The sequence below is a fragment of the Homo sapiens genome, chromosome 3 (genome assembly GCF_000001405.40).
Source record: "Homo sapiens chromosome 3, GRCh38.p14 Primary Assembly".
Taxonomy (NCBI): domain Eukaryota; kingdom Metazoa; phylum Chordata; class Mammalia; order Primates; family Hominidae; genus Homo; species Homo sapiens.
This window is the reverse complement of record NC_000003.12, coordinates 59977082-59995767: the sequence shown is the minus strand read 5'-3', so window position 1 is coordinate 59995767 and position 18686 is coordinate 59977082. Positions and strand designations below refer to the sequence as shown.

General features: G+C 38.5%; 1 protein-coding gene and 1 long non-coding RNA gene across 9 annotated transcripts in view; one reads left to right on the top strand and one right to left on the bottom strand.

The window, feature by feature from the left end:
- The window catches only part of FHIT (fragile histidine triad diadenosine triphosphatase), a 1504176-nt gene that overhangs the window by 1255685 nt on the left and 229805 nt on the right, over window positions 1-18686 (top strand). The window lies entirely within an intron of this gene.
- On the bottom strand, window positions 8237-10865 carry LOC105377112 (uncharacterized). The gene is made up of 3 exons (XR_940885.3): window positions 10821-10865; window positions 10130-10169; window positions 8237-8284 (listed from the first exon to the last, which is right to left on the bottom strand). It is a non-coding gene; the product is annotated as an uncharacterized LOC105377112 (long non-coding RNA).

Sequence of the window (18686 nt, the reverse complement as noted above, 5' to 3'; positions counted from 1 at the left end):
ATGTTGAAGACTGAGGTATACCCGGTGCTGTGTGTGGTTTAGGTATGTGTGGTTTAGGGTGGGAGGAGGAGATTCCCTCCAGATCCACAGTTTTTCTCCAAAGCATGGTGCCTAAGATGTGCTTTCACCATCAAGGAGCATTATGTTACTTTATACCTTACATCATGGATTTTTTAAGTGGATAATAGCATAATTTAAAAAATATTACCATCATAGCTGAAATAAAACATTACTCTGGTGTTAAGTTTACAATAACAGAAAGTGAGTTTTTTCTTAACCTCTGAAGACCAGATGTGTTGATAAGCCAAGCTCTCAGTTCACAAGAACTCATTCCAATTAGTTGTTGAAGTTTAATTACCTCCTCAAGAGACTAAGTTTGACTTTAAGTTAGAGTTAAGACACTTGAGAGGTGAAAGCTAGGAGTTGGGATTCAAGGGTTAAGTTTAGAGTTAAGAAAGTTGAATCTTCAGTTAGATTCAAGAGAGCTAAGTTGGAGATAGAGTTAGAATTGAATTTGAAGTTAACTTTTAAATTTGATAAGGTTTTGTTCTGTTGTTTTTTTTTTCTAAATGCCTACATCAGATTTTCTTTGTAATTTCCGGTTGCAGCAGCAGATTTGTACTATCCTGGACAAGATTGTCAGAAGGGATGAACAGAGGTGAGAACATTCAGAGCTCAGACATACCCAGACCCTCATTGGGTGGGAAGTTTCCCTAGCTAAGTTGGAGATCGATGGTTCTTTGCTGCTCTAGCAGAGCCTCTCTCCTTTCGTACCCACAACAATCCCCACCACCACCTTCTTATACTGACCCACAAGAACATTTGTTAGGCAAACACTCTGCCATCTGTTGTGCAGACAGGGCTTCCAGGCAGAATAGAAACAGGTGTGGCGTCAAAGTAACTTAGTGCATAGACAAGGTGAAAGGAGGGCTTAAAAATTGCATGTCACGTTCTGAGCTTTATACCTCCTTGGCCCATGGTGGGTGGACCTGAAATGCCATGTCTTATCAATGGCGACCCTTTGTAACCAGTTTGGGCTTTGGATTTGGTACCACACAGCTTTATGGAAAGACACTTGGGGCCGTCATTTTACTTGCAAATAGAAACAGGCTTTGTGGTGTGATTTCTTCCCTGGGATTTGTTTTGAATGTGTGGCTGGTTTGCAGTCCCCACAGAGGTTGTCAGCTAATGAGGGCAGTGGAAGTACGTTCCTTAACTTGTTCTTTCAGAAGTGTTGCATTACCAGAGCTGCAAGAAGAGTTTGTTCCTATTGTCAGATGCGGCATGGGATTTTTTTCTTTTTGCCTTTTCAAATTCCAGGGAAGAATGAGTTCTTTGGCAGAAATGGTGTCAAGAGAACTTCTTCTGTGATTATGTGCTAATGCAGTTCTAATTGTTTCTCTGCAGATGGATTGAGTATTGCTGACAGAGGTTTATGCACCTTCCCTAAACGGGTTGGTGGTTACCTGCTTTTTACAATAAATGTAATGAGCATCTATTTGCATTGATGGTAACAGTACTTTACAGTGGCTTAATATTTTGCAGTTTGTGAAGATTTTTGTGTCACATGGCTTATCTTATTTTTGTAAGGCAGTATTCTGGGAGTAATGCTTTGTAACCCACAATGCCAGTGTTCAAATATTGCTCTGCTTCTTCCTAGCTCTGTGATCCTGGACAAGTTATTTAACATCTCTGAGCTTCACTTTCCTCATCTGTAAAAGAGACATAATGATGGTGCTTGGTGTCATAGAGTAGTTATGAGAATAGTAAGAGTTAAGGGAGGTATGGGACTTATCACAGTGCCTAGAATATGGTATAACTCAGTGCATGTTAGCTATTATTTAATTATTAACACTATCAATATTATTAATTTTCCCCAGCATTGAGTGAGGTAGCTATGGTGCCAGGAATTTTATCCCCATGTTAAAGATGAGGTTAACTGAGGTTCAGAGGGAAGCAGTGACTTGCTCAAGACCTAGAATCCAGTCAGAGGCAGAGTTGAACAGGAACTGAGACCCCGTTACACCTCCAACATCAAGAAAATGTTGGGGGAGTCCTAGTGAAATCAGCTCCCACAGGCTGGTTTTGGTGGCGCCGGCCTCATCAGAAAGTGGGTAATAACCTCAGCTCCCAGCAGCAACTTTTAAACCACATTTAATTGTCTGTGGAGAACAGGATCTGGAAGTCTTCATTTGAGAGAAGACACCTTCTCTCAGGTAGGGTTTTGTAAACTGGGAAGGTAGAGAGGCTGTTTGCCAATTGGGGTTTGAGGTTTCGTAAATTCTCCCATCCTCAGGCTGAATGAACACCTCTCTTAAATGAGAAATGCATTCTACACTCACATTGGTGTTATTTTAGAGTACCCATACCACTGTTTTAATACAGTCCAGGGATAACCAGTTTTCTCTGTAAAACACATGTTGATTACTTGCTTTGTAGGATGTTGTTACAAGCTCCAGGTGAAGAAGGTGTGTGAGACTCAGTACCTCTCTTTCCGGGGTTGCAATTCTGTAGGAAGAGCAGGAAACTAACATAGATAACCAGAAATAGGAGGCAACATGTCGTAACGACCAAGGAGTGAGTTGAAGATGAAAAGCAAACACCATGGATTTTGGTGGTTAAAGAAATTTCCCGGATGTAAGAAAACTTTCTTACCTATTGAAGTTGTTCTACCAGAAGAGAAAAGGGAGATGGCCTAAGTGAAATATTGGAGAGGCAGGAACCATTAGTAGGATGAGATATGTTTGTTTTTAGTTTGTAGAAAATTATCATTTCATTAACGACCTGGACTTCTTACGGGTAGAATAACTAAATCCATTGTTTAAAGAAAAATATCATCAGTTTGAATAAAGTTGGCAAGTGTGTGGTAGATTCATTTCATTGTAGCCAGAAGCATTTTCAGTCCTGTCTTCATATCTGGAACCTGAGTCTTTACACTGACACTGTTGCGAGGGTGTGATGGTGACTTTCACGTGTTCTCTCTGTTCTGTGACTAAGCTGCATGTCAATGTCTGTGGCACAGATGACAGCTGTATCCTCTGCCTTACTTCTGCTGTTCTCTGCACAAAGCACTATTGAAACCAAGAAAATTAAGGAGGCACAAAGCAGGATCTCTTATGGGAAAAACTCTAATCAATATTTAGTAGAAATCAGGTACTCCGAATTCAAAGATGAAATACTAGTTTTTGCCTTATGTTTTGATCATCAGCTGTTTGATCCAGTCTCTGGGAGTAATGTATTTGTAGCAGGTTTCTGAAAATCCTGATGTGTTGTTGGTATACGCTTCTAAAGATGCGCTAATAGGGAAATACTTTGGATTTAGTGAAGACTGTACTTATCGGTCCAATTGAAATATCCTACAAATTGATTTTAGCATTAGTATTTATTTAAATTAAAACGGGCATCTATAGACCCCTTGGGCAGCTTAATTGTAAAAGTAATTCTTAAATGTACTACGCCAGGAAAACAATATAAGTTACTCAGGACAAATATATGTCTTAAACCTGCGGGAGCTTGATGGCAGGTCACTTCTCATTTGGTTAGGTTTAAAGTAACAATGTGTGGCAATGAGTAATAGTACTAATTTCTGAAGGGAAGTAGTAGGGGAAAGAGTCTTGGGCTCTGGGCTTCATGTTCTATATTCTTATCCAATACTGTTTAGTTCTACAGCCTTGGACAAATCTTTCATTGTTTTCTTCCTCTGTTTCGTTTTACTTCATTTTTATGTTCCTCTCTTCCTCATCTCCTCTTCCCTGCATACGTTAAAGACTCTTTCAGTTGCAAGTGTCAGAAAACCCAAACTGGCTACAGTAAATGGATGATTTATTGGGTCACATAATTAAAGAGTTCAAGGGAAGTTTCTGACTTCAGGTATGGCTTGATCCAGGGACTCAAGACTCTGTGTTTCTCTCTCCCTCTGTGTTTCTCTTTCTCTGCAAAGGGACTGGCATGAGCCTAGGTATAAAGGTGGCAGTAGTGAGTTGAGCATCTTGGCCGACATATGGCTGTGTGAAGAGGATCAGGGAGACAACGACTGTTGAGCAGTTGCAGGGTCTGAGCATAAAAAGATTCAGGAGCCAGGGTCTGCTCTCGGAATTTGACTCAGAAAGCATTCAGGACTGATGGAAGGAAGGAAGAAGGGACTAAGATGAAAAGAAAGATGCTTCCTAGAGAATAACCCGATAGCAATGAATAGGATGAGACTTAAGCCTGGGGTACTAATGTATCTGTCTGTTTGGGATTATAATAACAGCCAGGGTGAGACAAGTGAAATTAGAAGGACGTGATAAATACAAGTTGAATACAAGACCCCACTGGCTAAAGAAGTGCTGTGGAACCCAGTAGAACTAGATGTCTATCAGGATCATTTACATTGCAGGCCAAAACAAGTCAAACACACACAGCAAATACTTGACAAAATACCTTTCTACCTGGAGAAGATCTTAGTCTTTTTTCTAAATACCAAAATATCACTAAAAGTCTATATGGTATTGGGTTTACTGTGTAAATTTACATTCACAAAGGCTGTGATTTTCTGTTTGCAAAGTCAGACACTACTATACAATGTCATTAATCCATTCATTATTCACTGAGCACCTGCTGAGTAACACCCACTGTCACACATGGCCTAATTCTGCTTCTCGCTAAATAAAACAGATGTGGCCCTTGATCTCATGGAGCTGGTAGTCTGCTGAAGTGTGTCAATCCTCAAGTTTACCCACAATACCTCATCTGGATGTTTAAGGTTTGAACTCACGGAAGGAATGTTGTCTCTAGGATAGACAACTGGAAAATGTAATTGATAACCCTGTTCAACTCTATAGAGTCCTTCTTTCCACATTACTATGTGTTTATGAATTATAAAAAATTATTTCCTGGAATCTTTTGTTCTTGATTTATGGCAAAAGCTCTATAATGACTATTTTTAAAATGACTTAATGAGTGAGCAGTCTTGCCTCTGTTCTAAAATGCCAGTAGATCACTTAAGTGTCATTTGTTAAACCACTTTGGTCAATAAAAACCCTCTCATTGTTTTTCCCCAAGTGGTTATTGAGCCACATCACACCAACCTAGTTCTTTGCTCATGTTGCTCTATCTACTTTTGGCTGGTGTGGATTATTATTAATTATTTCTTCACAGAATACTAGCCAAGAGTTATCATGATGCAGTAATGGTAAATGCTCACAAAGATAAAATGCCCTAATTAGGGAGCCAAGTTAAGGAGTAAGCAGTTTGCAAAGTGGATTGAGATCTGGTGAGAGCGGGTTCCCCTCATCTGCTTCCATATGATTTGAAATGCCAACTGCTTGCTTAATTTAGAACAATATACTTTCTCTAAATGTATTTTTAAGATTCATGTTTATTCCTTTAATAGCTGATTTAAATGAACCAGCAACTGATACAAATCCACAGGAAAAAGAATTAGAATTGCTACCGATTGAGGCCAACATGGTGCTTGGCACTGAAAACATTCAGATCATTCCCCTCACTCTCATCATGCCAAATAGTGCCCTGTGAGCAAACACAGATCTCACTGGGGATATTTTCATAGTTTCTTTTCTGATTACAGAGATGATACTCGCTCATTACAGATACTTTTCGAAAATACATAAAAATATAATGCAGGAAATTACAATCATCCATGGTTAAATTTATATTTATATTTTAGCTGATGGTCTTTTTAAAAACTACCACCAGATACAAAAAGGCTTCATAAAGTATGAGGTCTCCTATTACTTCCCACTAAAGGTTAAAAACAACAGCAGCATAAAAATAAGGCTTTGCTGAGTTTGTCTTCTCATCCGTCTCTTGACTCTTTCTTCTACTATGTACTAGAAATAAAGTTCTCTGTGGAGGAAGAGTGGGGAGGAACCCCTGCTACTGGAAAGTAATCCTCTTTATCTGTCTGTCTATCTCCGATATTTGTGGAGAGGAGTATGTCTTTTTGATATAATGGAATCTGGGCAGATGAACACAATTTGTTTACAATCAATCAATGTGGAAATTTACAGGGGAAGGGAGGTCAGGGTGATGGGGAGGAAGCTTCACGTTCCCTGAGAATGACTCCCTATGAAGACACCCAACTCAATGCAGATGTTCTTCTTGTAGAAGGGACATAATGAGATCTGCTCTCTTCCTGTTACTTAGGTATAGATTGTAGAATGTGATTGTTTTGCAAAATAGAACGTTCTTTATACTGTGTTTTATATCTCAGACTCTAACATGCCCAGCCCTCAGAGACCCTGTGCCATGGTGAGGTAGTTATTTGGAAAGCCTCTTGTCTTCCCATGGTCACTTCTGAACTCATTGTTGGAGTGAATGTTAACCTGAGTGTGAAAGAGCAAGCAGTGTCTCACTTTAAGTAGAACTAAAGCTGGGGCCTTGCTTTGTTCCCTAGGTGCTGGCCGAGGGTTGGAATGAAAGTCCTAATGTGTGGGGGAAGTCAGCCATCTCATTCCCTCTGAAGCTAAACTGACCTAGTGAAAAGGCTGTCTCCATATTCTCAAAGGTTTCCAGGAACTCAAGAGCTCAGTTTCCTCATATGCTAAAGTGAGGGCAGAGGAGCCTGGCTTGAAATGAGAATATCTGCCTTTCCCGAAAGGAAATTTATCTGCCATTGGAAGCCAGATAAAATCACTGTTCATCTATTTTTTCCAATTTCCAGGTACTTCAGATTGGCTCCCCTTCCCAGAACCTCTTTAAAGCCTGAGTCTAATGGCCAGACCTCCATCATCCCTACCCCAAACTGCTCCTCAATGTGCATAATCTAGAGAATCTAAAAAATACTTAGAGCATTCATTTGTATTCATTGAGCTGAAATTGTGCATGCTGTCAGCATAGGTGGGAGAATCTGTCTTAGAGTAGCTCAGCAAATACTACCTGTCCTTTACTTTCAGAGCTTTGCCCCTGTTTCCTCCTGCTCGAGGCCCTAACTGCATTCCCCTATCTTGGAGGGCTTGTCCTACTTCCTACTTACTTAACCTCTGCTTCTGCTGAAGCCCTTGGCTCAGGGACCACCCCCACAGGGAAGTCGTCCTTGATCCTTCGGGTGTTTGCTCCTTTATTTTGAGATCCTTATCTCAGTTTGAAACCCTTAGGCACAAGTGTGATGATTTGATTAAAATCCTTCACCAGGAGACTGTAAGCTCATGAGAACAGGGGACATGTGTATCCCCACTGCTTAGAGGAGCGCCAGATACACAGAAAGAACTCAGAAAATACCTGAGTGAATAAATGAATGGGTGAATGAATGAATAGATGGATGAATGAATGAGTGAATGGATGAATGAGATACTGTGATTATAATGTTCAGGTAAAAGTCTATTTATTTAAAAAGAAAATGTTTACAATTTTGCTTTATTCGATCATGTTACACATAAACCAACAATAGACTCCACCAGGGCATAAGAGGTGAGAGAAATACCAAACAAAGAAATATCAAAGAGAGATGCGAGAGTAAGTCACGAAGCTTCCTAAATTTTTAATCCTACTTTTAAAAGGTAAAATCAGATATTTTATCAGGTTGTTTGTGCATTTTTAACGAAGTTAACTTTGGAATATTCAGCACTGAAGGTGACCTGCAGTATCTCTTGCTCAATTTTGGAGGCTGCCTGAGAATTTCTCATTCTCTGTTGCTTCCAGATTTCCAGGAAGAGTCAGAGACTCACACTTTTTACTTGAAAAGCTGATACGCATTCCCTATAAACCTCCCAAATGTGTGAAATAATTACCCAGGAAACAAAAGAGAGGGACTTTTACAGTCATAAATTCATTCAAGGATCTACATGAGGCATTTTTCTGTAGTGGGTCAGGTTACGTCTTGTTCCCCTTTTCAAAATATATTTCAAGCTATGTTACTAAAATGTACCTAAGGCTTCTTGATATAGGAAATAGAAAAATAAGACTTTAGATGGGGCAGACATCTCTAGTACCCCAAGTCTTTCTTTCCTTGAAATATCCCTTCACTTTGAAAAACATAAGTAGGCCATGTAGGGAAATGCCTAATGTGAATTTCTCCTAATAGCCCCAAACTCTTCTTTCAAATTACTACAAAAGGAATTCAGGATTTTTAGTGCCAGATTGATGAAAAAAAAGTGCATATTAAGCTTTCCTTATTAATTAAAGGCAGAGAGGAAAGAGTCAGCCTCGCTCAAATTTATAAAAACAAATAATGTTTGGAAATGAGCTTACAGTATAAAACTGGGTGATGCTGTGTCTTAATACAGTTTGCCTTCATGTTAGATATCATTGCCATGACGTGTTAAAACATCTAATTACTGGTGTGCTGCAAGAAAGAGGAAAATGACAAGATTGTGAATGTGATTTCAAGTTGGACTTGGGAAACCATTCAAGAAAACTCTTTAGAGAAACACATTTGCTTTTGTCCCATGAGACACACACGATGAACTAATAGATCATCCTTGGCTCTAATTTCTAACCGTGTTCACAGCCAAGCTCATTTATACCAGGTGAATGATGATCTGGCTCATCACAAGAAATAGCTAGTATGATGAAAACTTTTACAGAGTTTCAGGAAAAGCAGTCCTAAATAAATAAATAAATATATATAGGATTTCCTATAGAAAAAATATATAAATATATATTTTTATGTCTATATTATTTATATAATTATATATTTTATATCTATATAAAATATATAGATTTTTTATATCTTCATATCTATATATAATATAGATATATATAGATATATTTTATATTTTTATATATTTTATATATTTTATATTTTTATTTTTTTATTTTTTAATATATATAAAATATAAAATATTTTTCTATAGTAAATCCTATACATATATACATATATGTATATAAATCCTATACATACGTACATATATTTTTAATATATAATATAAAATATATGAATATATAAAAATATGAAATATTTTTCTATAGTAAATCCTATACATATATACACATATATACGTATATATTTTAATATATAATACAAAATATATTTATATATATATATTTATATATTTATATAAATATATTTATATATATATAAATATATGTATATATTTATATAAATATATGTATATATTTATATAAATATATATAAAACTAAATATGTAAATATATTATAAATATAAATACATAAAAATATTTTAAAAATTTTCTATAGTAAATCCTAGACATATATGTACACATATATATGTGTGTGTGTGTGTGTGTGTGTATATATGTGTGTGTGTGTGTGTGTGTGTGTGTGTATATATATATATATATATATATATATATATATATATATATATTTTGGACTACTTTCTCATACCCAGAGCCCTTTGGAGTCCAAGGGAGATCCAATCACAGACTTCTGGGTGATATAGCAAAGGGAATAACTGTTTGAGAAGTAAGGGCACAAGAAGGAAAAATCGAGTTGGAGAAAAGACAGTATTTGGAATCTTAATCCTTCTTTGTACATGTGGTGTTTCTTAACTATCCTTCCAAAGGGGGTGCCGTTGAATTTTATTTGGACAGTTTACTCCTACTGAGAGCTTCTCAGTTATCTTAAGGATGTGGGAAATTCTTTTTCTTCTTTCCTTGTTTTTGGAAAGAATGAGTCTGTCTGAGTTTTCCCAAGAAAGTTAGCTGCTACAGTTTCAGGGTGAGCAGCCATAAAGTGTGAACCGCTATTGATAGTGCTTTTTTCTTTTTGCCGTTATAATATGCTTAAAATGGAGTATTCCTTGACATGTGCAGACCGCAAAGGAAGTGATACTTGGTTCAGAGTTTTTTTTCTTCCTCTCATTCCTTCCCCCATCCTTTCTCTGCTCTCCTCTTCCTCTTTTTTTTCTCTCTCTCTGTTTGTGAGAGGGGAGTATAGTACTGAGGGGACCAGGCTCTATAAATGTATCCTAAGTGTCAAGTAGGTTTCATTTCCAGTACCCAGTTCTGGAAGGCCAGTCATGACTGAGTGGACACCTGCGCTGTGACGGATTCTAAGGTTCAGCCTAGGCTCAGTGTGAAAGTGAGAGGTGATCAATTAATAATGTCTCTTAAGGGCATGTGCCACATATATTTGCTCACCCTGCTTTAAGACAGACAGGACTCATCCCAATTCTCACAGATTTTTAATTTTCTGTTTAAGTCTTTAGTGAAATTGAGTACTCACAGCTAAGCGGAGCTGGACTTGTGAAGTTGTACTCATTGCCCTGAGATGGGAAATGCCAAATGGTAAAGATAATCAGCACAGATAAAATTACCTTTTAGCAAATTCTAAATTATGTACATAGATGTTCAAGATTCAATGTAAAATTGCTTTACTTACTTACACTTTATTTTTTGGAATAGGGATAACTGGTCCTTAGACCACGTAGTTTGTTACTTTCTATACAAGTGTAATGGTTTATTGAAAGCAACACCTGATAATACTCTAAGGTTTTACAAATAACCCCCTATGTCTGGAGTTTTGGCAAATACTCTGCCTTACCCTGCCAGTGCAGATAAAATGGAATTCTGTGGCATTTGGAAGGCGGAGCATTCTGTGTTTGTAATGGAGATCATTTGGGCTCTGCAGGGCACATTTGAAGTCACTGATGCCAGTTCAATCCCCAGATGGGCAAATTAACTTTAGTCCTTTCCATGTCCAGAAGCTGCATGCCCCACTCAACTGTCAAGAGTTAGAGCAGGCAACTCTGCAGTGCCTCTGGACACAAGCCACCACAGAGAAGATGTCCCTGAAGAGTTTCCTAAACAAAATGTAACTCACTGTCCTACGATGGGAACTCTCCCACTTTTCCAATACCTATCTGAGATTCCATTTCTGATTCAGGTTCATTACTGGATCATAGACCTCAACACACCTGGCTTAGTAATGGTGAAGCCCAATACTGCTGACCCTGCTGCTACTCTTAAGATTAGGGACCACATTTGAAGTTGCTGTTGTGAAGAGGATTATGACATGTAGCCCCTGGAATCTGCCCCTGCCCCGCCCAGTTGTGCTGGGTATTAAATAAGACAATAATCTTTGTTTTGTCCCTCAGTGTATGCCCATCATCTAGAAGAAAACTCAAACTTAATAGGAGCTTGGTAAGTATTTGAATAAATGAAGGCACATTTTCATAAGTGTGTGTTACTGGTATTAGCCAAGGCTGTGTGCCTTGGTTCCATTCTCTGGGACTCACCCTTCTCATATGTGCTAAGGTTATTCTATTTCACATGCCTTTTACTCTGCACTCTGGGGCTTTCTCTTGCTGGTGTAGAGTGTAGGCCTAAAGTGTCAGGAATTATTGACTTTAGGAACAATGTTTAGCCAATACCAGTGGGAATTTGAGGATAAATTCCCCAGCTTCCTATGTCGTAAGTGCGAAAACTCAGAGGGTAGCATGTTCCACGCTGTCTTCCAGAGCCCCCCCCAGTGGATTTGAGCCCCAATTGCTTGAAGCACTAATATTCTTATAAATGTTTCTTGTAGTAGATTTCTTTTTTCCCCTGTCTTACTTCCACTTCTCCCCTAATGGTGCTTCCTGGGCCCATCTCTCAAATAATCCATTTGTACTCAGATTCCTGTCTCATGATCAGTTCTGGAGAAATTCAGTCTAAGGCATTAATGATAATAAAGCAGTAAAGAGAAAGAATATGAGGTTCAGCATATCTCCTGCTACTACTGGGAAAACAGTCTGGTGCAGCATGCCCAATTCTCAGTGACTGAGTTTCACCTTGGAATATTAGGGATAGTGTGCTACTTAGTAAGAGGCAAGAGTATTATTCACAGGAAAGTTAAGTAACATTGATCTTCTAGGAATTCGAATACAATTTAGACTTGGTTATAATTCGTAAATATATGTTCTTTGCCCTATCACTTCAGTACGTAGAGGCTCTTGTTTTTGGTCTATGCAGCAACTCTTCCTCCCTCATGACTGGATTAATTATAGTTACTCAATCCCCTTTGGCCACAGGGGTAATACAGGAATGGAGACTTGACCAAATCAGGTCCCTGTCTTTGCTAATATAGGGATTTTCTGGTACTAATGGGGCAATCCTCTCATTCTTCTCTGATTACTAGGTTGGGAGCTTCCTGAGGCCACCTTCCACAGCCAGGTTGTCATCTTTATTCTGAGAGAATGAAGCCAACACTGGAGAGGGAAAGGACTATACATTAGTCCGCCTTATCTAAAGGGAATACATTCTAAGACCCCAGCGGATGCCTAAAACTGCAGATGGTACCAAATTCTGTTTGTACTGTTTTTTCCTATATGTACATAGTTACGATGAAGTTTAATTTATAAATTAGACACAGTAAGAGATCAATTACTACTAATAAAATAGTACAACTATACCAATATATTGTAGTACAAAGTTAATAATTGTGGTCTTTTTCTTGCTCTCAGAATATTGTACTCTAGTCACTTATTTTCAGGCCATAGTTGATTGTAGGCAACTTGAAACCATAGAAAGTAAAACTGCCAATAGGAAGGTAGGACTGTACTGGTTCTGCCTTAACATTCCTGAGGATGTGTTTATGTGAACCAATAAATATACCCCTTCTTTTTGTTCCAAAAGAGTCCTGACCTGCTGGGAGTGGTGGCACATACCTCTAATCCTAGCACTTTGGGAGACTGAGGTGGGCCGACTGCTTGAGCTCAGGAGTTTGAGGCCAGCCTGGGCAACGTAGCCAAACCCCATGTCTACAAAAAATACAAATATTAGCTGGGCATGGTGGCACATGCCTCTAGTCCCAGCTACTTGGAAGACTGAGGTGGGAGGATCGCTTGAGCCAGGGAGGTGGGGGTTGCAGTGAGCTGAGATAGTGGCATTGTGCTCCAGCCTGGGCAACAGAATGAAAAAAAAAATCAAAAAAAGAATCCTGGCTAATGCACGATGCATAGGACTTCATCTTTTCCTTGCTAGAATCTCTAATTTACAAATAGAAAACTTTGGATTTAGTAATTATGCCAGTAATGTGTAGAAGCCACGGAGATGTCTCAGAATCCCAGTTCCAAGACAGTAGGGACTGGGGCTGATGTGCTGGTCTAGGCCTGCTCCCTTTTTTTATCTATTGGTACCTAATAAACATGATGCTGTTTGATGACCTAATTACATTGTGTTAACACATTTGTAGTTAGCCACAAGCACTTAACCTAGCTCAGAACTTCATCCCTTTCTGCAAGTACGGCATATACCGGAAATTGAGCACAGAAATCTTAAAGCAGATTAAAGAGGGCAAAAATTCATTGTGAAATATTCCCAAAGTAAAGTTAGTTATTACACTTGATCTTAGCTGGAAGGCCAAAAAGTGATCACAGTTAGTTATTGATAATATACTTCACTTTAGGTGAATTGGTTTGTGCTAGCTTTGCAGCCTTTGAAAACCCTGTGGGACTGGCATCCCATTTCCTCTGGATACTGCTTATAAAACCACAAATTAATTTTTTTTTTCTTCTGTGATTTCACTTGACACTGGAATCTCAAAAGTTTCTTGGGGGATTTTTTGTTGCCCCAAAAGCTACAATTAAAAGACAGATTTTCATACCTTCTTTTTCCACTTAAACAACCATCTTCAGGGATGTTATTTTGTGTTTATTTAAATATTCAAATAGGATTCATAAGCCCCATCTTCCTCACTCTCATCTTCACAAGCTAAGGCAGTGCTTGAGAAAAGAGACCATACATCACTATTTATTCAGCTAATGTAACGCGAAGAGCTCTGTTTGAATAGTCTATTTATCTCTTCATGTTGTCACTAGAGAGAGGTAAGACTAGCCAGTGCTTAGTGGTCAAAGAATACCTGTTCAGAAAGAAGTGAAGTCAACTGATTTTTAATACCAGATCAATAATTTTTTTTTTCTTTTTGCTGACCCTGGCAGCAAAAAGGAGTGGCAGTAGTGTAAACTGATACCTTGAATCCTGTGGGATATTTTTGTTCTCTATCATAAAATACAATTTTAAATTAACCACATCAGACTTTTTCTTGAATTCCAGAAAATGATTAATATCGATTCCAGAGCTGAAAGGCTTTTGTGTGCATTTCAGGTTAATTTGGCATATTTGCCTCATTTCACATTAAATGTTTTATGTGTGTTTAACTTCTCTATTTGACCATTTAGCATTCGAGAGACTCCATAAGAACTGTTAATTATCAAGGGCATCTCTCTGCGTTAATGTGCGGGCACCGTGGTATGTTCTTTACTCTGAGGCTGAGGAAATGTGGGCTGGATGTCAGGTGCTGTGATGTTATCTATAGGTTCGGTAATGTGGCCAGGCACTGCCACTGTGGGAATCTGTGTGTAATGAACAAATTTTTCACGTCCCCACTGATGGCCTACATTTTTGCAGCAGGAAATCAGAGAGCACAGTTCAAGGGCAGCAATAGAATTTGGATATTGAATTTGTCACAGAAGCAATGGCCCATTTTCAGAAGGCCCTTTGCCTTATGAAACCAGCTAATCAGCTAGAAACATAGGGATTACTCTGAAACTTAGACAAGACAGGACAGCGTTCAGTTCTTCCTCATACAGGGGCATTCCAAGTGTGGAAATTTTAATCCTTTGAGTTAAAATTTAAAAAAAATGTGTCTGGATTCAGGAATAATCTAAAGCATAGTATTCTTCTAAACTCCATTTCCATGAGATGCTCTAAGAAGGTTTTTGTAATAAATCCATTTTACTTTGCATAATGAAATATTTTTCAAACTTATTTCTCCATGGACCCAGTGTTTTTTTTGTTGGTGGTGGGTTTTTTGTGGTTGTTGTTTATAATAGTGAATAACCACTAAAATCTTCAGATGCTTTGTCTATAGATACTTTTGGGTAACATAACTACAAAGGTTGTCAAGAGAAACTAATGTTATTTTCACATTGGCAGAATTTCATGTTCATAGTTAGGATTATAATTAATTTTAGGACACATTGTAAATTATGAAAACAGTAGTTTAGTTCATTTGGGATGCTCTAAGGTAATACCACAAACTGGGTGGCTTATAAACGACCAACATTTTTTTCTCACATTCTTGAGGCTGGGAAGTTCAAGATCAAGACACTGGCAGCTTTGTTGTCTGGTGAATGCCCACTTTCTGGTTCATAGATGCTATCTTCTCCCTGTGTCCTCACATGGTGGAAGGGATGAGGCAGTGGTGGGAAACGGCCCCTTGCCTCCTTGTGGGACAAGCTATCCTTGGCCTGGCCATGGCTTCTCCAGGCTGAACTTGAGTCACACTTGGGATGACTTACACAGCTTTGTGATCCAGGAGCTCCACTAGTTTGAAGCTCTTCTCTGCTATCATCCCATCCATCTTATATAGACAAACCCCATAAAATTCCAAAGTCCGGTTAGAAACTGTAGAATGAGGGCTAATTATAACAACCTATAGCTAAAGCCAGAGGCATTATACCTTCAGGAACTGGGCAAAACTGGGGACTCTTGAAGAACATAGATACATAGTTTTGAAGTATGAAGAATATAGATGCACACTTTTGTGTGTTATTTTTAAGAGTTCAAGGAATCCTTGTTGTCCATTCAGCCACCTTCCTCTGGCCTGAAGTGAGTATCTGCCTTACAGTTGGCAGAGATGAGGAATTAACATTCATGCCAATGCCCAAATTTGTGATGATCATGAAGAGCTGGAAAGGTGAGTTAATTTAGTGAGTTAGCTTCAGTTTCTTTAGATAGTGTCAAACTTAATGTGTAAGAGGGAGAGGGGGAAAAGAGCAATGTAAGCTTAAGTGGTGTTTTAGAATATCTTTTCACTGGGGAAAGAAAATTGACAAAAGATTCAAATTTGTTAAATTAGGAAGAAAAGTCAATATGGTGTATTTGCCATCTGTCAGACACATTAAGTCTTCTCTGTCGAACAGTGTTGTCAGCTGACCTTATTATGCTGGGAAGGACTGGAGAAGAGCTACTGTTTCATCTCCCAGATTTCCTCAGTCTCCCATTAAGAAAGTGCTGAATTTAATTCTCATTTCTGTTGCTTTTTATGTGGCAGGATGGTGACGCTCAGTTTCACAGTTTCTTTCTTTTCGAAAACATGTACTCTTGTCACACGGGCTTACTCATTTATGGGCAGGGTGGGAGTATAGCGACCAAACCCCTTCTTATTTATCCAGTAAAGCACCACAGCCCCACCATATCTTAGTGTAGAGTTTCAATGTGCCCCATTGATAGGAATGTTCCATGACAGCGTACACGTTCTAAATGGGCTTAACCAATAATTTCTTACCCCTGCCTGAGATGTTTCTATTTAAAAAAGATTTTGGGATCCATAGGAAAAAAAATGTCCCCAAGGGATTCTCTAAAATTGTTTATTCTCATAGCTGGTGTTTTGCAAAATGCTTTCCTCTCCCAAGTCTGTCAAGTAATTTTTATAAGGTCTCCACTCTAGACATTCCCAACTAAGTATCTTGTTTTCCCTGAATCTTGGAGATGGAAACACATGCAAAATATGTGATAAGAAAGCAATGAGGGCAATGCTGAGTTATAAAAAATATCTCTGGCTTTGAGGAGTTAGGTATAAATGCACTAACTGTACAAACAACCTGTGAATCTAAAATTCTGCCATGCTTCTGTAGTTCTTGAGGACCACAAGACCAAGGTTGGAATTTCCCTGGCTGCTTCTGAGAGCTGATTTGAAAGTCTGGGTGGCCCCTGGCTCTGTGCTCTCTCAGCCTCAGTGTGACATTTTTAGGCACACATGTTAAAACAGTCTTCAGATGTTCAATAGGAAACCAACACAATGTCAGAAAGAATAGCACCCTAACAATTTCACAGAATGGTTTGCTTATGTCTGTCTGCTGAATTCCTAAGCCTCCAGATGCAGAGGGAAGTATTCAGTTAGTTGTCTGTTAGGTTCACACTCACTTTTCACTACCCTTGCCCCCCATAATTTGGAAACTTGACACATTGTCTTTTGAAGAACAGAGTCTGGGAAGCAGTAACCTGGTGTACTGGTTGGAATATAGTCTCACAAATATCCAGACCATTGAGTTTTAGCCTTTTTTTAAGGTCCCAGATCCCATTTCTTAGATCGAAAGCTTCTCAAATAGGTTTCTGTATGGGCTTTGGGGAGCTGGGCAGGAGGGACACTTTGAAACCTCCAAAATTACTGAAAAACTATTGGATAGGCATATGCACATAGTTTTGCAGTAATTTTGGAGGTTGCAAAGTGTCCCTCCTCAGCAGCTCCCCAAAGCCCCGTTGTTTCTAAACTTCTACTTAGATACTTGTATGGGTTGTTTCAGATAACAGAGTAGAAATGCTGAGAGGTAAAGAGATGGCCACTAGCTAGTTAATTGGCTGTTTAACTATTCCAGCCTCTAATATTTATAGTAAGGCATTTAATAATATTTAAAATATTTACATCATGGGTATAACTAATTATACATGAGTGATTTTGGGACTCTAAAGCATAGTAATATTGTAGATATCTAATGGTTTATTTTCCATTTCAGGAAGAAATAACGTACTTTAAATTTTAAATAAGGTTGTAATTGGCATGTAAGGTGGCCCTCTCAGCACGGCTTTATGACAGGCCTTCTTGAAATTTGCTGGCCAAGACCACAAACTTTAGCGAGTAAAAACATACAGGCTTTGGAATTTGAGTCCAAATTGCAAGTTATTAGCCATGCAACTGGAGTAAGTTACTTTGCCTGTTTTAGGCCTCAGTTTCCTCAAGTATTATTGCTAATTTCTTTAAACTGAAATTAGCAATAATACTTACCCACAGGTTTATTATGAGGATGAACTGAGATTGTACATGACAGCCCATACATAGCATAGTGTTTGGCACATAGTAAATGCTTGCTAAATGCATTTATTAACACTGTACTCTTGTCTGATGAGAGTCTTCACAAACAACTTCATGACTGTCTTTCGTCTAAGAAAGAGTGATACTAAAACAAAGCATGAGAAATGGACCACCAACTTCTGAATATTCCAAATATCACTCTCTTTCTTTTAATGTGTCTATCATTTAATAGGCAGGGTAACTAGAACTATCAGAAATTTGTCCTTGGTTTATTTGGCTTTTTTGTGTTTAAGTCTTTTGTCCTGGAGCTACAGATAGATAATTATAAATTCATTCAATCCTGGCATGAGAGAATCTCTTTGCTTTAGATTTTTTAAGGGGAACTATGGACAGGAATAGTTTCAAATTCCGCTTTTAATTGTTAGACGAAACAATGACTGCAACGCGGCTGACTCTATCAAAATGTAAAGTTAAATCAGGGTTACTTGTTCAGTCCTGACACAAAGATTCCTGTCATTGTGTGTGATAACCTCTTCGAGGCTTGTAAACTTAAATACGTTTATTTCTCATTACCCTTTTTGCTATTATTGTGGCCAATGGTGGATTCTTCTACTAGGGTTGTACATCAGTGCTGGTTTGGCAGGCTGGATTTATTTTAAAGAAATGCTTCAGGGATGCCTACTTTTCCACCAAAAATCAATCAAAATGTTGTGAAGGGAGCATAAATTGTAGTCATCTTTGCTAGGAGAGCCTTCCAAGTAGCTTGAAAAGAGGCCTTGATAGATGGAAGCAACCGCAGGCTGGAGTCTGGGGGACTTGCCTAGTGGCTAAGTCAGGACCATCAGCAGATGTATGATATTGGGAAAAACACTTTTATTTTATCTGGGACTCAGTTGTGCTATCTATAAAATGAGAGAGTAGAAAATGCATTCTAAGATCTTAATGTCTTTTGGTTCCCGGGCCCTCTCTGATCAGCTAAGGAAGGGTA